General features: G+C 35.5%; 1 protein-coding gene across 4 annotated transcripts in view, besides 2 other annotated features; it reads left to right on the top strand.

Annotated features, from left to right (window-relative positions):
* The window catches only part of RCAN2 (regulator of calcineurin 2), a 271,235-nt gene that overhangs the window by 31,550 nt on the left and 224,346 nt on the right, over positions 1 to 15,339 (top strand). For all 4 annotated transcript variants that reach the window (NM_001251973.2, XM_024446301.2, NM_001251974.2 and 1 more), the window contains exon 2: positions 3,443 to 3,669. In NM_001251973.2, the coding sequence (NP_001238902.1) occupies positions 3,445 to 3,669 (225 nt within the window). In that variant the 5' untranslated portion in view covers positions 3,443 to 3,444. The remainder of the gene's footprint in view (positions 1 to 3,442; positions 3,670 to 15,339) is intronic.
* Positions 947 to 1,447: an enhancer, noted in NCBI's record as "H3K4me1 hESC enhancer chr6:46426711-46427211 (GRCh37/hg19 assembly coordinates)". NCBI's record gives its function as "activates a minimal SCP1, AML or CMV promoter by ChIP-STARR-seq in primed H9 embryonic stem cells {active_cell/tissue: H9 hESC(primed)}" and the evidence as "EXISTENCE:reporter gene assay evidence [ECO:0000049][PMID:30033119]".
* Positions 1,448 to 1,948: an enhancer, noted in NCBI's record as "H3K4me1 hESC enhancer chr6:46426210-46426710 (GRCh37/hg19 assembly coordinates)". NCBI's record gives its function as "activates a minimal SCP1, AML or CMV promoter by ChIP-STARR-seq in primed H9 embryonic stem cells {active_cell/tissue: H9 hESC(primed)}" and the evidence as "EXISTENCE:reporter gene assay evidence [ECO:0000049][PMID:30033119]".

Here is a 15,339-nt window from a genome sequence, read left to right as displayed (position 1 = left end):
TGCCTCAAAGGTTTCTTACAATGACTAACAGTTTGATATTAATTAAAAAAGACAAACCAGGCTGGGCACAGTGTCTGACATCTGTAATCCCAGCACTTTGTGAAACCAAAATGGGAGGACTATTTGAGGCTAGGAGTTGGAGACCAGTTTGGGCAACATAGCAAGATCTCATCTCTACAAAAAATAAAAAAGAAATTAGCCAGATATGGTGGTGCATGCCTGTAGTCCCAGCCACTCACGAGGCTGAGGTGGAAGGATCACTTTGAACCCAGGAGTTGGAGGTTGCAGTGAGTTATGATTGTGCTACTGCACTCCAGCTTGGGCAACAGAGCAAGACCCTCTCTGAAAAAGTGGAAAAAAAAAACAACAACAGAGGAAACAAAGACAAACCAGTTAACTTGAGCTGTGGGACCTTTATACTTCTTTATTGGGAAGTTCTCTTAATCTTCAGAATTTCCTTCTGTTTATTTGGGCAATACTGAAGCATAATTGCCTTGCTCTGAAATTATCACGATGTGTTTTTACTGCATAGTTCATGCAGTAAAAATTGCAATACTGTATATTACAGTATTGCAAAACTGCATATTACATATTCTTTTATGTAGTGGTTAATACTGATTTTGATCACGTCTTCCGCTCCTGTTTCATTCCCCTGCCTCCCCTTACTCTGCAGAAGGAGGCAGTTCAATGTTGTTTTGTTGTTGTTTTACAAGGATAAACTGAGTTCCAGAATGATCACTTGGCTTCTCCAAATTATGGGGTGAGTTAGTAATGAAACTAGAAAGAGAAATTAGAATTTCTTTGTTCAAAGCTCTGACTTCTAAAGTATTTCTCCATGTAAGTAAAGTAGGTTGTTTGCCAAAAATGCATTCACCCTTAAATCTTTACTGAAAGTAATGAGCTTAAAATAAAATCTCATGAAGATAATATTGTTACAGCTTAGGATAGAAATTAAGGCTATTTGAGTAGATTAAAATGAGTCCTGAGTTAAGCTTAAAATTTGATCTATTTAATTAATTTGTTCGGCAATGGATTTTAGATTTTTTTTGGAAAAATAATAATTGAAACATTCTTACAACACATCTAAGAGTGTTTTATAATGTTTTGATTCACTTAAAATATTTTAAATAAGAGGGATGAGATTAAAAATAAAATTCAAATTGACACAGCATCTATTTGTATGCTGCTGAATGATTATGACTTCATTATCAAAAGAGTTTCCTGGCTGTGTGCAGTGGCTCATGCCTGAAATCCCAACGCTTTGGGAGGCCCAGGTGGGTGGATCACCTGAGGTCAGGAGTTCGAGACCAGCCTGGCCAACGTGGTGAAACCCTGTGTCTACTAAAAATACAAAAACTAACCGGGCGTGGTAGCACGTGCCTGTAATCTCAGCTACTTGGAAGGCCCAGGCTGAGGCAGGAGAATCACTTGAACCCGGGAGGTGGAGGTTGCAGTGAGCCAAGATTGCGCCATTGCGCTCCAGCCTGGGCGACAAGAGCAAAACTCCATCACACACACACACACGTGCGCGCGCGTTTTCCTGTAAACTATTAATGAAAATGCTAGTGTTTTGATGATGCTTTTACTAAATATTTTTACTATTAAAACAATTGATACTCTAATAAATGACGGTAATTAGGTGTTTTATGCTAAAATATTCAAGCAACAGTATAAATAAATATGAAAGAAAATACATGCACATGTTTCATTGAAGTTGTCTAGCAGTTCAATTCCCTTTATATTAATGCTATTACATGTTTTTCCTTCTAGTTAAAAATATTCATATATTTTAGATTATTTAATAAAACATGTACCATATTTTTATTTAAAATAAGTATTTTGTTGATTTAAATATGGAAATGCGCTAATTGGAGTTTGAAGAACTTTGGAGTGCAAGAATTGTTTTATTATATTTTATATAGAAATTTTTACTTACCACAATTTTGATGATTTGATTTTAGAGATATCACCTCAAACTATTTAATTTTTGGCTCCTACCTCAACCGGGCTTAAGATTTTATATGTAATGCATTATTGCCAGAAAATGCTGCTTACCAACTCTCATTGGGGCTTTTCTAGGAAAAATGAAAATAAAAAACATAACCTCATCACTATGAGGTTCAAGGGTTTATTTCACAGTTCAAGAGAGAGATAAGCAGAAACTGATATTTTGTCTGGGGATCTGGAATTTGTATCTAGCTAAACTTCATGAGAGCAGATTGATGTTTAGTGGTACCCACCTTTCTGTCCTTTGCTCTGAGCATCTGTGATGATGGGACTGAAGAACATGGAGCTTCCTGAAGATGATTCAGTAGCCATGTCATAATTTTCAGTCAGTCTTACTTGCGTAACCATGAGCAAGTTATTTCACTTTCCGAGCCTCTTAACTATTGAGCTTTGAGCAGAATAGTATCACAGTCATGAAAATCGGTACAAAAGAAGAAAGTAGATACCAGCCTTGGACTATATGGGGATACTGACCTAATCCACTAAATTATGTACCAGTATCAAAAAAATGGAAAAACTCTGCAGTTAGGCAAACTGCAAATATAAGGGGTGAAAAAATAATAGAAGGGTTGAACACAGCTAGGTGAAATCAATACTGGAAAGCCTTACAAGGCAAGGAGGGACGGGGACCTGTGCACCATGGATTGATCAAGATAGCACTGATTTTTTTAGGATCTGGACCTGGTTCACAAATGACTTGAAGTAATTATCTCAGTCAGAAGAGGAAATATCTGGGAGGTGTGTGTGTGTGGTGTGTTTACTCTCACTGTACTCTCACAGGATGAACTATTACCTGTTAGAGTTATCATGATCAGGATTCAGGTGCTGATGAAGTAGATCATACTTTCTTAAATATAGGCTTCTACTTATTTTGATCTGCTTCATTCCTGTGGCATAGGAGAGTGAGCTCTGGTGCCAGTTTCCCTGAGTTTGAATCCTAGCCCTGCCATTTTGTCAGTGGTCTTGTAAAAGTTACTTAATTGCTTTCTTCCTGTTTTCCCATCTGTAAATTGGGGAAAATATTGGTACCAACCTTATAGACTATTGTGGAGATTAAATAAGGTAGTTAATGTATGTAATTGATGTTCTAAATTTATATAAATCATTTAGAATAGTGCCTGGAACTCAATACACGATAGACATTGGTAGTAGTGGTGGTGATCTCCATTTCCTATACCTATTTGTTTGTCTGTTTGTTTTAAAAAACCATAGTACTGACTCGGTTCTTGCCCCAGAGCAGAGCTGTATGGGAAATTCTGGTTCAGGGATCAAGGGAACCATGTGAACTTGCAGATCTTCTCCCTTCCAATATCCCCTGCCTCTGCTCCTAATCGTACTCCACTGTTCTGCCCCTGACAATACAAAACTGTGACCCGAAAACTGAGTTTTAAGGAATTTGTTCTGCAGTAACACATGCTCATCTTTGTATCCCCAGGAATGAGGGGAGAATCATACTTCATCGGAATGAGGAGCCCAGGGCAGCAGGGACACGTCCCTGAAGATGGAGGACTTTTCTTACTGTGCTGCATAGACAGGGACTGGGCTGTCACTCGTTGTTTTGCAGAAGAAGCCTTTCAAGCAATCACTGACTTCAATGACCTCCCCAACTCGTTGTTTGCGTGCAATGTTCACCAGTCAGTGTTTGAAGGAGAAGAGAGCAAGGTAAGCTGCCTTTTTCTGTTCCTAAAACATGGGGAGATATGGCATTATCTCCAAGTAATCCTGTTGTTCATTTGTGGTTGGTGTTTTGAAGTTTTTGGAAATGTTTAGTTGGCTCTATTTTTGGCATGTGTACCAGGATAAGAAAATCCCATTCTATTATCAACTAACTTTAGAGATACATCTGACAGGGTTGTAGATGAGAATATGTTGAATCAAATTGAGTCCTCTGTGACTCACAGGTCTATCTAGCAAAACAAATGGTGTTAATATGGATTGTAGGAAATGCCCCTTAGGCTAGGAAGCAGATGTCTTAAACTCCTAAAAGTTTCCTTTTCCTCTATTCTGCCATAAATATAATTTGCCTTTCTCAAAACAATACAAACTCCATTTTACCTCCAGCCTTCCCGCAGCTTGACGAATGTTCTAAAAAAGCCTTCTTAAACTGTGAGCCAAGTCTCACAGTAGATATTAGAGAAGGTAAGTTGGTTGGCATCTGAGTCCTTCTTTGCTCATTGATACCATGGTGGTATTGCCATGTGTGTGTTGTAAGAATTTGAATGAAGCAGCAACTCCTCAATTTGAAATGATAGGGGAATGAGGTTGTCTATGTATTAACATTTTCCAGCTTCCCATTTTAAGAAACAGACTTAACTTAGTGTAAATGTTTTTGGCAATCACAGTAAATATTCCATTTGGAGACCTTTCCAAAGTTTATTTCAGATTTCTCTGACCTTTGAATGGGGTATCTAAATGGATTAAACCTTCCCTTGTAGATGTAGATTCTTAGTTGTAAAAGCCACTATTATACTACTGAAACATGGACAAAATTTTTTGGATAAAGGGCCTTTTTTTTTTCTTTTTCTTTTTCTTTCTTTCTTTCTTTCTTTTTTTTTTTTTAACGGAATCTCGCTCTGTTGCCCAGGCTGGAGTGCAGTGGTGCAATCTCGGCTCACTGCCAGCTCCACCTCCTTGGGTTCACGCCATTCTCCTGCTTCAGCCTCCTGAGTAGCTGGGACTACAGGCGCCCATCACCACGCCCAGCTAATTTTTTGTATTTTTAGTAGAGATGGGGTTTCACTGTGTTAGCCAGGATGGTCTCGATCTCCTGACCTCGTAATCTGCCTGCCTCGGCCTCCCAAAGTGTTGGGATTACAGGTGTGAGCCACTGCGCCCGGCTGAGGCTTTTTTTTTTCTAAACTAAAGTATATGACTCTGTGTGAGGTATAAGAGTAGGCTTTATGGTTGCTGTTTCACAGACTTTAGCTCTTTCTGCCCATTGCTGAAGTCTGTGTCTGGCATAATTACTGGAAGTCTGATTTACGGATATGATTGATTTTGTAGACAATCCTGATAGCCACAGACAAAACCATCCCAGAGGATTAGGAATTATTTTAAGCCATTTAAAGATATTTTTATAATGATATCAGTGTGGAGTTGAACTGTTGAAATTATGGGCTGAAAATAGCTTGAAATACAAGGAATTATATATAATTAGAACCTCCAGTGCTATGATCATCAGACTATTTAAAGTAAGAAAGTGGCACATGCCAATTTCTTCTTTGGAAGAAACTGAGAATTTTGTTCTTGGATTATAACCAGATTATCACAAATGATAATTTTCTCAGGGCAAGTAGTTTCCTCTGAAATATACCTGCCATAAACTATAAAGCAACAGTCTATGTATTCTCATCATATCATCCATTTCTCTAAATATCACAATTAGAAGGATTTTCCTTAGAGATTTAATGAGGGTTTTCATTCTTTCCTGATTAAATACTTCCCAGTAGACTGAAACAATGAGGCCTAGGAAGGTGCTAATCTCATTTAGCAGTGCTGCTCAAGAATGGCTGATTAACTGAATTAGAACTGAGGACATAGAAGGACAGGGGCTGGAGGGGGGAGTTCATGGGAGTCTGTACACATCTATTTTGATATTCTGATTTGTGATTGAATAAAGGATTACAAGATATTCTCATCTAATGTGTATACGAAGTTTGTGCATAGCAGTTTGGGAAATAGTATTTGGTTTTAGGATGACCTTGATAAAATATTGAGGCAAAATAAACAAGAATATAGTTAATTGCACTCAGTTTCAAATGATTTAGATCACCATTTTACAGCCATGGAGGTGAATTTTATAATTGGCTGAAGTCTATGTAATTCAGTTTATTAAATCAGAAAGTGTCCTACCTCAGCAAGATTTTTTTTTCTTTTTTTACTCTTCCTTTTGTGGACAGTCTTTAGGATACCAAATAATCTGACATGGATTTAATTTTGACTTAATTATATCTATATAGTTTAAGGTGACAAAACAAGATAATCAGATACCAGATAAGTTGACAATAGCCAGGAGGCATGATTGCTGGGACTCCAGAAAAAAAAGTGGGGAGTCTTGTGGCATCTCATTTTCACTGCATATTTCTCTTCCAGACCCAGAAATTCATATTTCTTTCATTTAACCTCCTTTTTAAAAAACTATTATGATAAAATCACTTATTTTAAGACATTAAGTATCATACTCCATTCTGTCAGAATATTCTTTCCACAAGGTTTAGGTTTCGTGAATCTGAGCCATGAAGTCTGATGATGGGTATTTTCCACAAAGGGTGGACATTTTAGGCACTGTGATAAGTTGGTGGGGAGATATTTTTAGGCAGGGGGAAAAGAAGCAAAAAGCATTTCCAGCACTCCTTGTATTGGCCTATGGGCAAGGCTGGCCATGGTAATTGTTTTTATATTTGGCTTTGGGAAGATGTATTCAGCAGCCTGGAATTATAGCAGGGGGTGGAGACATCAGAAATGATGCTTAGCCTTCATTTCCAAGGTTTACGAGGGTCGGTGGTTTCATATGTAATTTGTTTTGGCAGAGTCTTTTCTTTTTTGGCACAGCCTGCTTCTGAAATCATTGTGTCTTGATATTGATGCATTTAAGTTTAGCCTTTGTCTTGCAATTATTATAAAGTATACATTTAACTTCCATAGTTGGGTAGGAATTAAACCTTTTGCTTTCTATCACAAATGAGTCTTGCAGCATTCTCTTCTCTATTTTCCTACATGTCTGAGATACCTTTTCATTTTTGAGGAAATTTATGAATTGAACTTCTCATAATATAGGTAACAGCACAGGATGTGATCTGGATCTGTTTATTTCTGTATCACTTTGTTCTGTGCAAAATGATAAATATTCTGATATGCTCATTTCTGCTGTCCTATTTACATTCTAAGTTCTGACACCTAAAGCACATGTTAAAAAACAGCTTTGTGTTGTCCGTAATGTTCATTCCAATTTTCAGTTAGGCAGAATTCCGTGAGATTGTATTTTGATTTCATGCTTTTGCAATGAGTGAGCACATACTTCAGTGAGGCTTGTTGTGGTCCAGATGGTTGAGATTTGTTTATATAACACAAAGGAGAACCGGAGCTGGAGGAAATTGGCATCTGAAACCAATAAATGCAGATTGCTGTGTGCGTGCTACAGCTTGAAGTATAAATATTTTTGTATGAAACACATTTAAAACTGTGATCTTCACAGTGTCCAACACCTGAAAATTACTAGGGTACATTTCTCTTCAGAGCACTCCCCTGGGTTCATCTTTCGGGATCCAGCTGGGCTGCAGAAGTCATCTTGAGGAAGGTGAGGCTAGGAAGGTTGTCCTTTGAGCTGCCCTGTGTCTATGCTAAAGACACATAAGGGTCTGCTGGGTAGGACATTGGAATGCACTGCTTGCTAAAGGGGAACAGTGAAGCAATGACTGAAATGTTTAGCCAAATTCAATTGAATAAGAAGAAACCTGAAAGGTGACTTTTTTTTATTATTATACTTTAAGTTATGGGATACATGTGCAGAACGTGCAGGTTTTGTTACATAGGTATACACATGCCATGGTGGTTTGCTACACCCATCAACCCGTCATCTACATTAGGTATTTCTCCAAAATATGTATTTATTCAATTTATTAATAATTATAACATCAGCAGCAAATACCTATATAGCATTTGGCATGGTGCCAGGTCCTTTTCCAGGTGCTTTATAAACATGAGTCCTTTACTTGTCATGACAACCCTATGAGGGTAGTATCTTTCTGTAACTCTACTTCCTGGGTGCGTGTCAGGATTGTATTCCCTGGACCCTACTGGCTGTTTCTACCCAATGTGTAAGCAGAAATGACTTGTGTGATTTCTAGGCCAAGAATTTAATTTACCTATATTGGACCCTGAAGAATGTTCCTTTTGTTCTGTTAGGGAAACTGGCATTGTGCCAAGTAGTGCTGGCTTAGGCAGTTTGGGTCCTGGAGTAAGGACACTGATGATGTAGGATAGAATCCTAGCTAACCTATCATGAACATGTAATGCAACAAGAAAAACAAACAAACAAGAACTTTTGTTGGTTCAGGCCACTGGGATTTTGGGGTTTGTTATTATAGTATAAATTAGTCCATCTAGATTGGTGTAAGTATCATTATCCCTATTTTTCAGGTGAGGACACTAGAGAGCAGAGACTTTTCCCATGGTCTAAGCTAGTAGTGGCCAAGGCAGGATTCAAATCTAGGCTGCCAGACTACAGAGTTCATGTTCTTAAACATTATGCACTACTGCCTCCTGATATACAGATATTTATTGAAAGCTGGTATGATATTTGGTTCTGGGGATTCAATGGTAAACAAAATAGGCTTAAATTTAATTTATAATGTACCAAGAGTGGTCTATTCAAAATAAGCAAACAACTAATAAACATAAATGCTGACAGTGATGCCAAAACAAAAGGACATTTAGCATATTTTCAACTACATTCATTTCCTTACACACACAGACAGACATACACACATCACACATGAACATACACAGTTCTTTAAAAATAAGATGGTAATTCTGCCAACCATTAAAGAGTATATTCTACTAGAATGGGCATGTGGTGAAAGACCTGGCTCTGCTGTTCTCTTAGTCTTTGTGTGTCTTGTAAATAGATCATTGCAATGCATTGCAAGTAGCTAGAGTGATTCTAATATTCAAAGATGTACACTTTCATTCAGCATATCCACTAAATCTGAACCAATTTCTTCTTCTCAAGTTCAGCTGACTAAACGCTGAGCTAGTCTAACATTGCAGGCATTATGAGAGCATCCTAAAGGATTTTCAAAGCTAAATCTGATTATTTGTGGTTTTTACTGAGTTCCCCTCACTCTAGTTTGTAGGAGAATGTCGATGTTTACTTTGAACTTTACAACTGCCGGTCCACAATCTCTTATCTATAGTACTAAAATCTGAACATCTGAAAACTGAGACTTTTTTCACAATCCATTGTGAGACAAAACATCACTTCATTAAAATCTGACCTGAACTGATAAGAGGCTACTTGTAGTTCGACTAGTCAGCTATTTCTCTGTAGAAATATTCCTCCCTTTAATTACTAGGGGCTGCCCCCGATGTTGCTGGGACATTACACAATATGAGCCCTGTGCCCAGTATTACACATCCAAATCCCCCAATTCAGAATGCCAAACATATCACTCCTCAAGAGTTTCAGACAGTAGGTTGTAGATCTATAAAACATAAAAATGAATCTACATTCCATATTCAAAGAGAAGAATGAATTTATCATGGAAATCTGAAACGCCATAAAGTGAGCAATTCAATGTATTTTGCCCATAAGATGCTCATGTCTATTTTCTTAATTTTTAAATAATTTATTTTCAATTGACTAACAAAAATTATGTATACATTTATTGTATACAATATGATGTATTGAAATATGTACGCATTATGTAATGACTAATTTGAGCTAATTAACATATACATTACCTCCCATACTTATTACTTTTTCGTGGGGAGAATATATAAAATCTACCTTCTTAGTGGTTTTTAAAAATACAATAGATTATTTTTAACTAAAGTCACCATGTTGTAGAATAGATCTTTTGAACTCATTCCTCCTGTCCAGCTAAAATTTTGTAGCCTTTGTTCAACAACTTCCCAGCCCCTGGTAAGTACCATTCTACTCTCGGTTTCTATGTGTCTGACATTTTTATCCTCTACATGTAAGTGAGATTATGTAATATTTGTCTTTCTGTACCTGGCTTATTTCACTTAACATACTATCCTGCATTTTCATCCATGTTGTGCAAAGACAGGGTTTCCTTCTTGTTTAAGGCTGACTGGTATTTCATATATACCACATTTTCTTTATCCATTCATCTATTGATGAACACTTAGGTTAAGTCCATATCTTGGCAATTATAAATAATGCTGCGATGAATAATGGAGAGCAGATATCTCTTCAACACACCAATTTCATTTTATTTAGATGTATACCTAGTAGTAGGATTGTTGGATTAAATGGTGGTTCTATTTTTAGTTTTTGGAGGAAACTCCATACTGTTTTCCATAATAGCTGTACCAATGTACATTCCCACTAACAATGTGTAATAGTTTCCTTTTCCTGACATCATCACCAACACTTTCACCTTTTTTCCAGTAGCCATCCTAACAGGTGTGAGGTGATATTTCATTGCGGTATAATTTGCATTTCCCTGATCATTAGCATAGTTGAGTACTTTTTAATACACTTACTGGTCATTTGTCTGTCTTCTTTTGAGAAATGTCAATTCAGCTCCTTTGCCCATTTTTAAATCAGGTTATTTGTTTTTTTGCAGTTGAGTTATTTGAGTTCCTTATGTATTTTTGGATACTAACTCCTTGTCAGATTTACAAATGTTTTCTCTCTTTGCAAATATTTTCTCCATTGATTGTTTCCTTTACTGTGCAAAAACCTTTTAGTTTAATGTAATCCCATTTATTTTTGCTTTTGTTGCCTGTGCTTTTGGGGTCATATCCAAAAAGTCATTACCCAGACCAAAGTCAACAATTCTTTTCATACATTTTCTTCTAGTAGTTTTAGTTTTAAGTCTTATGTAAGTCTATTTCATTTTGAATTTATTTTTGTATATGTCATAAGCTAAAGTTCTGATTTCATTCTTCTGAATGTGGATATCCAGTTGTTCCAACATTATTATTATTAAAGAAACTGTTTTTTCTTCGTTGTGTGTTCTTGGCACCTTTGTGGAAAATCAATTGACTGTAAATCCATGGATTTATTTCTGGGCTTTCTATTCTGTTCCATTGGTCCACATGCCTGTTTTTATGTTAGTACCATGCTGTTTTGATTACTATAGCTTTGTAGTCAGCTTTTTTCTTTTTACTCAAGATTGTTTTGGCTATTCAGAGTCCTTTGTGGTTCCATATAAATTTCAGGATTTTTTTTTTCTATTTCTGTGAAAAAATGTTATTGGAATTTTGTTAGAGATTGCACTGAATCTATAGATTACTTTCTGTAGTATGAACATTTTAATAATATTAAATGTTAATATTTAATATTAATACTAATTCTTCTAGCCTCTGAAGATAGAATATCTTTTCATTTATTGTGTCTTCTTCAGATTCCTTCATTATGTTTCATAGTTTTCAGTGTACAGGTCTTTCACTTCCTTGGTTAAATTTATTTCTAAGTATTTGATTTTTCTTAGCTTTTGTAATTTGGTTGGTTTTCTTAATTTCTTTTTCAGATAGTTCCTTGTTAGTATATAGAAATGCTACTGATTTTTGTATTTTGGTTTTGTATCCTACAACTTTACTGAATTTGTTTATTAGTTCTAACAGTTGTTTGATGGAGTGTTGAGGGTTTTCTATGTATAAGATCACGTAATCTGCAGATAAGGACAATTTAACTTCTTCCTTTCCAGTTTGGATTCCTTTTATTTCTTTCTCTTGCCTAATTGCTCTGGCTAGGACTTCCAGTATTATGTTGAATAAAAGTGGTAAGAGTGGCTTCCTTGTCTTGTTTCTAATCTTAGAGGAAAATCTTCCATCTTTTCAATGTTAAGTATGCTGTCAGCTGTGAGTTTGTTATATATGGCCTTTGTTATATTGAAGTACATTCCTTTGACAACTAAATTGTTGAGAATTTTTATTGTGAAAGAGGGTTGAATTTTGTCAAATGCTTTTTCTGTTTCTGTTGAGATAACCATATGGTTTTTATCCTTCATTCTGTTAATGTTGTGTATCACATTTACAGATTTGCATTTCTTGAATTATTCTTGCTTTTCTGTGATAAATCTCACTTGATTGTGGTGAACAATCATTTTAATGTGCTGTTGAATTTGGTTTACAGGTATTTTGTGGATGATTTTTGTATCTGTGTTCATTAGGGATATTGGTCTATAATTTTCTTGTCTTGTAGTGTAGTTGTCTGACTTTGGTATCAGGGTAATACTGACTTTGTAAAATACAGTTGGAAGTATTCCTTTTTCAATTTTTTGGAAAAAGTTTGAGAATAATTGGTTTTAGTTCTTTAGATGTTTGTTAAAATTCAGCAATAAAGTCATCGTGTTCTGGGCTTTTCTTTGGTAGGAGACATTTTATTACTGATTTGATCTTTTTACTTGTTATTGGTCAGTTCATGTTTTCTTTTTCTTCGTGATTCAGTCTTCGTAGGTTTTACGTCTCTAGGAATTTATCCATTTCTTCTAAGTTATCCAACTGTTGGCATATAATTGTTCATAGTAATTTCCTATGATCTTTTGTATTCTTGTGGTATCAGTTCTATTGTCTCCTCTTTCATTTCTGATTTTATTTGAGTCTTCTCAGATTTTTTTATTAAGCTAGCTTAAGGGTTGTTGATTTTGTTTATCTTTGTAAAAGGCCAACTCAGTTTTTGGATAATTTCTACTATTTGTCTAGTCTCTATTTCATTTATTTATTTTCTGATCTTTATTATTTCCTTCATTCTACTAACTTTGGGCTTAGTTTGTTCTTTTCTTTTTAATTCCTTGTGGTATGATGTTATGTTTTTTGTTTGAAATCTTCTTTTTTGATGTAGGCATGTATTGCTATAAGTTTTTTTCTTAGATATATTTTGCTGTATCTCATAGTATGCTACTAGATTTTAGTATTTTGTGTGTCCATTTGCATTTGTCTCAAGATATTTTTAAATTCTTCTTTGACCCATTAGTTGTTCAGAAACATCTTGTTAAATTTTTTTGTATTTGTAAATTTTCTGAAATTCTTTCTGTTATTGTTCTCTAGTTTTATATACTACTGTAGTTTAAAAAGATGTTTGATATGATTTTAATCTTTTAAATTTTGTTAAGACCTTTTTGTGCTCTAATATGATCTATCCTAGAGAATATTATGTGTACACTTGAAAAGAATGTATATATATCCTGCTGCTGTTGGATTCAATCTTTTGTATATGTCTGTTAGGTTTATTTGGTCTAATGTGCAGTTTAAGTCTGATGTTTCCTTATTGATATTCTGTCTGGATTATCTATCCTTTGCTGAAAGTGGAGTATGGAAGTCCTCTACCATTATTGTGTTACAGTCTCTCTCTCTATTCTCTCTCTCTATTCTCTCTCTAGATCTATTAATATTTGCTTTATATTTTTAGATGTTCCAATGTTGGGCACATGTATATTTACAACCGTTATTATCAAATTAATCATTTTAACTTATATAATGGCTTTCTTTGTCTTGTTCTACTTTTTTTAATATAAATTCTATTTTATCTAATATAAATAGCTACCTTGCTCTCCTTTGGTTAGCATTTACATGGAATATCTTTTTCCCTCCCTTCCCTTTTAGTATATATGTGAAGTGTGTCTATTGTAGGCAGTGTATAGTTAGGTCTTTTTTAAAAAGCCCTTTCAGCCATTCAGTCATTCTTGTCTTTTGATTGGAAAATTGAATCCATTTACACTCAAAGAATTAATTGATAGGTAAGAATTTATTAGTACCATTTTGTTAATTGTTCTTAGTTGCTTTGTAGATCTGTTGTTCCTTTCTTTCTCTCTTACTGTGAGAGAAATTGTAATTAGATGATTTTCTATAGTGGCTTATGCTTTGATTCCTTACTTTTTATGGTTTGTGTATCAACTAAAGTGTTTTGCTTTGTATCATGAGGCTTACATAAAATATCTTATAGTTATAATAGACTTTTTTATGCTGACAATTTGATCACATGAAAAAACTCAATAATTTTACTCCTCTTTCCGCATTTTATGTTTTTGGTGTCACAATTTACATGTTTTATATTATGTATCCCTTAACAAATTATAGTAGCTATCATTATTTTTATAATTTAGTCTTTGAAACTTCATACTAAAGATATAAGTGACTTACGTAGAACCATTATAGTAGTAGAGTATTCTGAATTTGACTGTGTACTGATTTTTACCAGCAAATTTTATACTTTCCTATGCTTGACTGTATTACTAATTAGCATCCTCCTTTTCATTTAGATTGAAGAAATCCCATTAGCATTTCTTGTAAAATAGGTCTGGTGGTGATAAACTGTCAGCTTTGTTTGTCTGGGGAAGTATTTTTCTCTCCATTTCTAAAGGATAGATTTGCTGGGTAAAGAATTCTTGGTTGGCAGTTTCCCCCCAGCACCCCCACCCACACACACACCCTGCCTCTGGGTTATCACTTTGAATATATTATCCCACTCTCTTCTGCCCTGTAAGGTTTATGTAAAAAAGTCTATTGCTAGCCTTATAGGAACTTCATTACGTGTGATATGTTTCTTTTTTTTTTTTTCTTGCTTTTAGGATCCTCTTTTTATCTTTGATTTTTGACAATTTGATTATAATATATTTTATTGTAATCTTGTTTGGGCTGAATCTTAGTGGAGACCTTCCTGTACCTGGATATTTGTATATTTTTCCAGATTTGAAAAATTTTCTGTTATTATTTCTTTAACTGAATTTCCTGGCCCTTTATTGTTCTACTCTTACTTTTTAACTCCAATAATTTGAATACTTGCTTGTGATGCTGTCCTATAAATCCCATAAGCTTCCTTTATGCATTTTCATTCACTTTAATATTTTCGTCTGACTATATATTTTCAAATAACCTGTCTCTGTCTTCAAGTTCACAGGCTTTCTTCTGCTTCACCAGTTCGCTGTTGACACCCTCTATTGTATTTTTAACTTAGTTCATTGCATATTTCAGCTCTAGAATTTTTTTAATAATTCAACATCTCGTATTTTGGTTGCTTATTGTTCTTTAATTTTGTTAAATTGTTTCTCTGTATGTTATTATATTTTTGTGAGCTTTCTTAAAGCAATTATTTTGAATTCTTTGTCAGGCAGCTTACAAATCTTTATTTTGAGGGTGGTTATTGGTGCTTTATTTTATTCCTTTGATGCTGTCACGTTTCCCTGATTGTTTCTAATTCTTGTGACTGTGTATTAGTTTCTATGCATTTGAAGAAGTAGGGACTTATTCCTGTCTTTTTGGACTGGCTTTGTCTGGGGAAGTCCTTTACTAGTCAGCTCATCTAGAGATTCTCAGCAGCTGGTCTGGCATGGTCCATGGGTGAACTTGCTGCTTGAGTCCTTGGGCAGGCTATCCTGGTGCCTGGGTCAGCAGGTGGGCAGGCCTGGTGCTTGAGTCCATAGGGTTAGGCCTGGAGCCTGGATCTACTGGGATAAACGTATTGATTGGTTCTATGGGGGTGGACCTAGAGCCTATGTCCATAAGGACAGGCCTAGAGCCTGAGTCTATAGAAGCTGGCCTGAAGCCTGGGTTTATAGAGGCTGACCTGGTGCAGGGGTGGTCTTTGAGTCTGAGTCTGAAGAGGCTTTCTAGGGGCTGGCTAGGTGCTGGTATGGACCTGGT

The sequence above is a fragment of the Homo sapiens genome, chromosome 6, assembly GCF_000001405.40.
Source record: "Homo sapiens chromosome 6, GRCh38.p14 Primary Assembly".
In the NCBI taxonomy this organism is placed as follows: Eukaryota; Metazoa; Chordata; class Mammalia; order Primates; family Hominidae; genus Homo; species Homo sapiens.
Note: the sequence above shows the minus strand (reverse complement) of the source record. Positions and strands in the feature narration are given on the sequence as shown.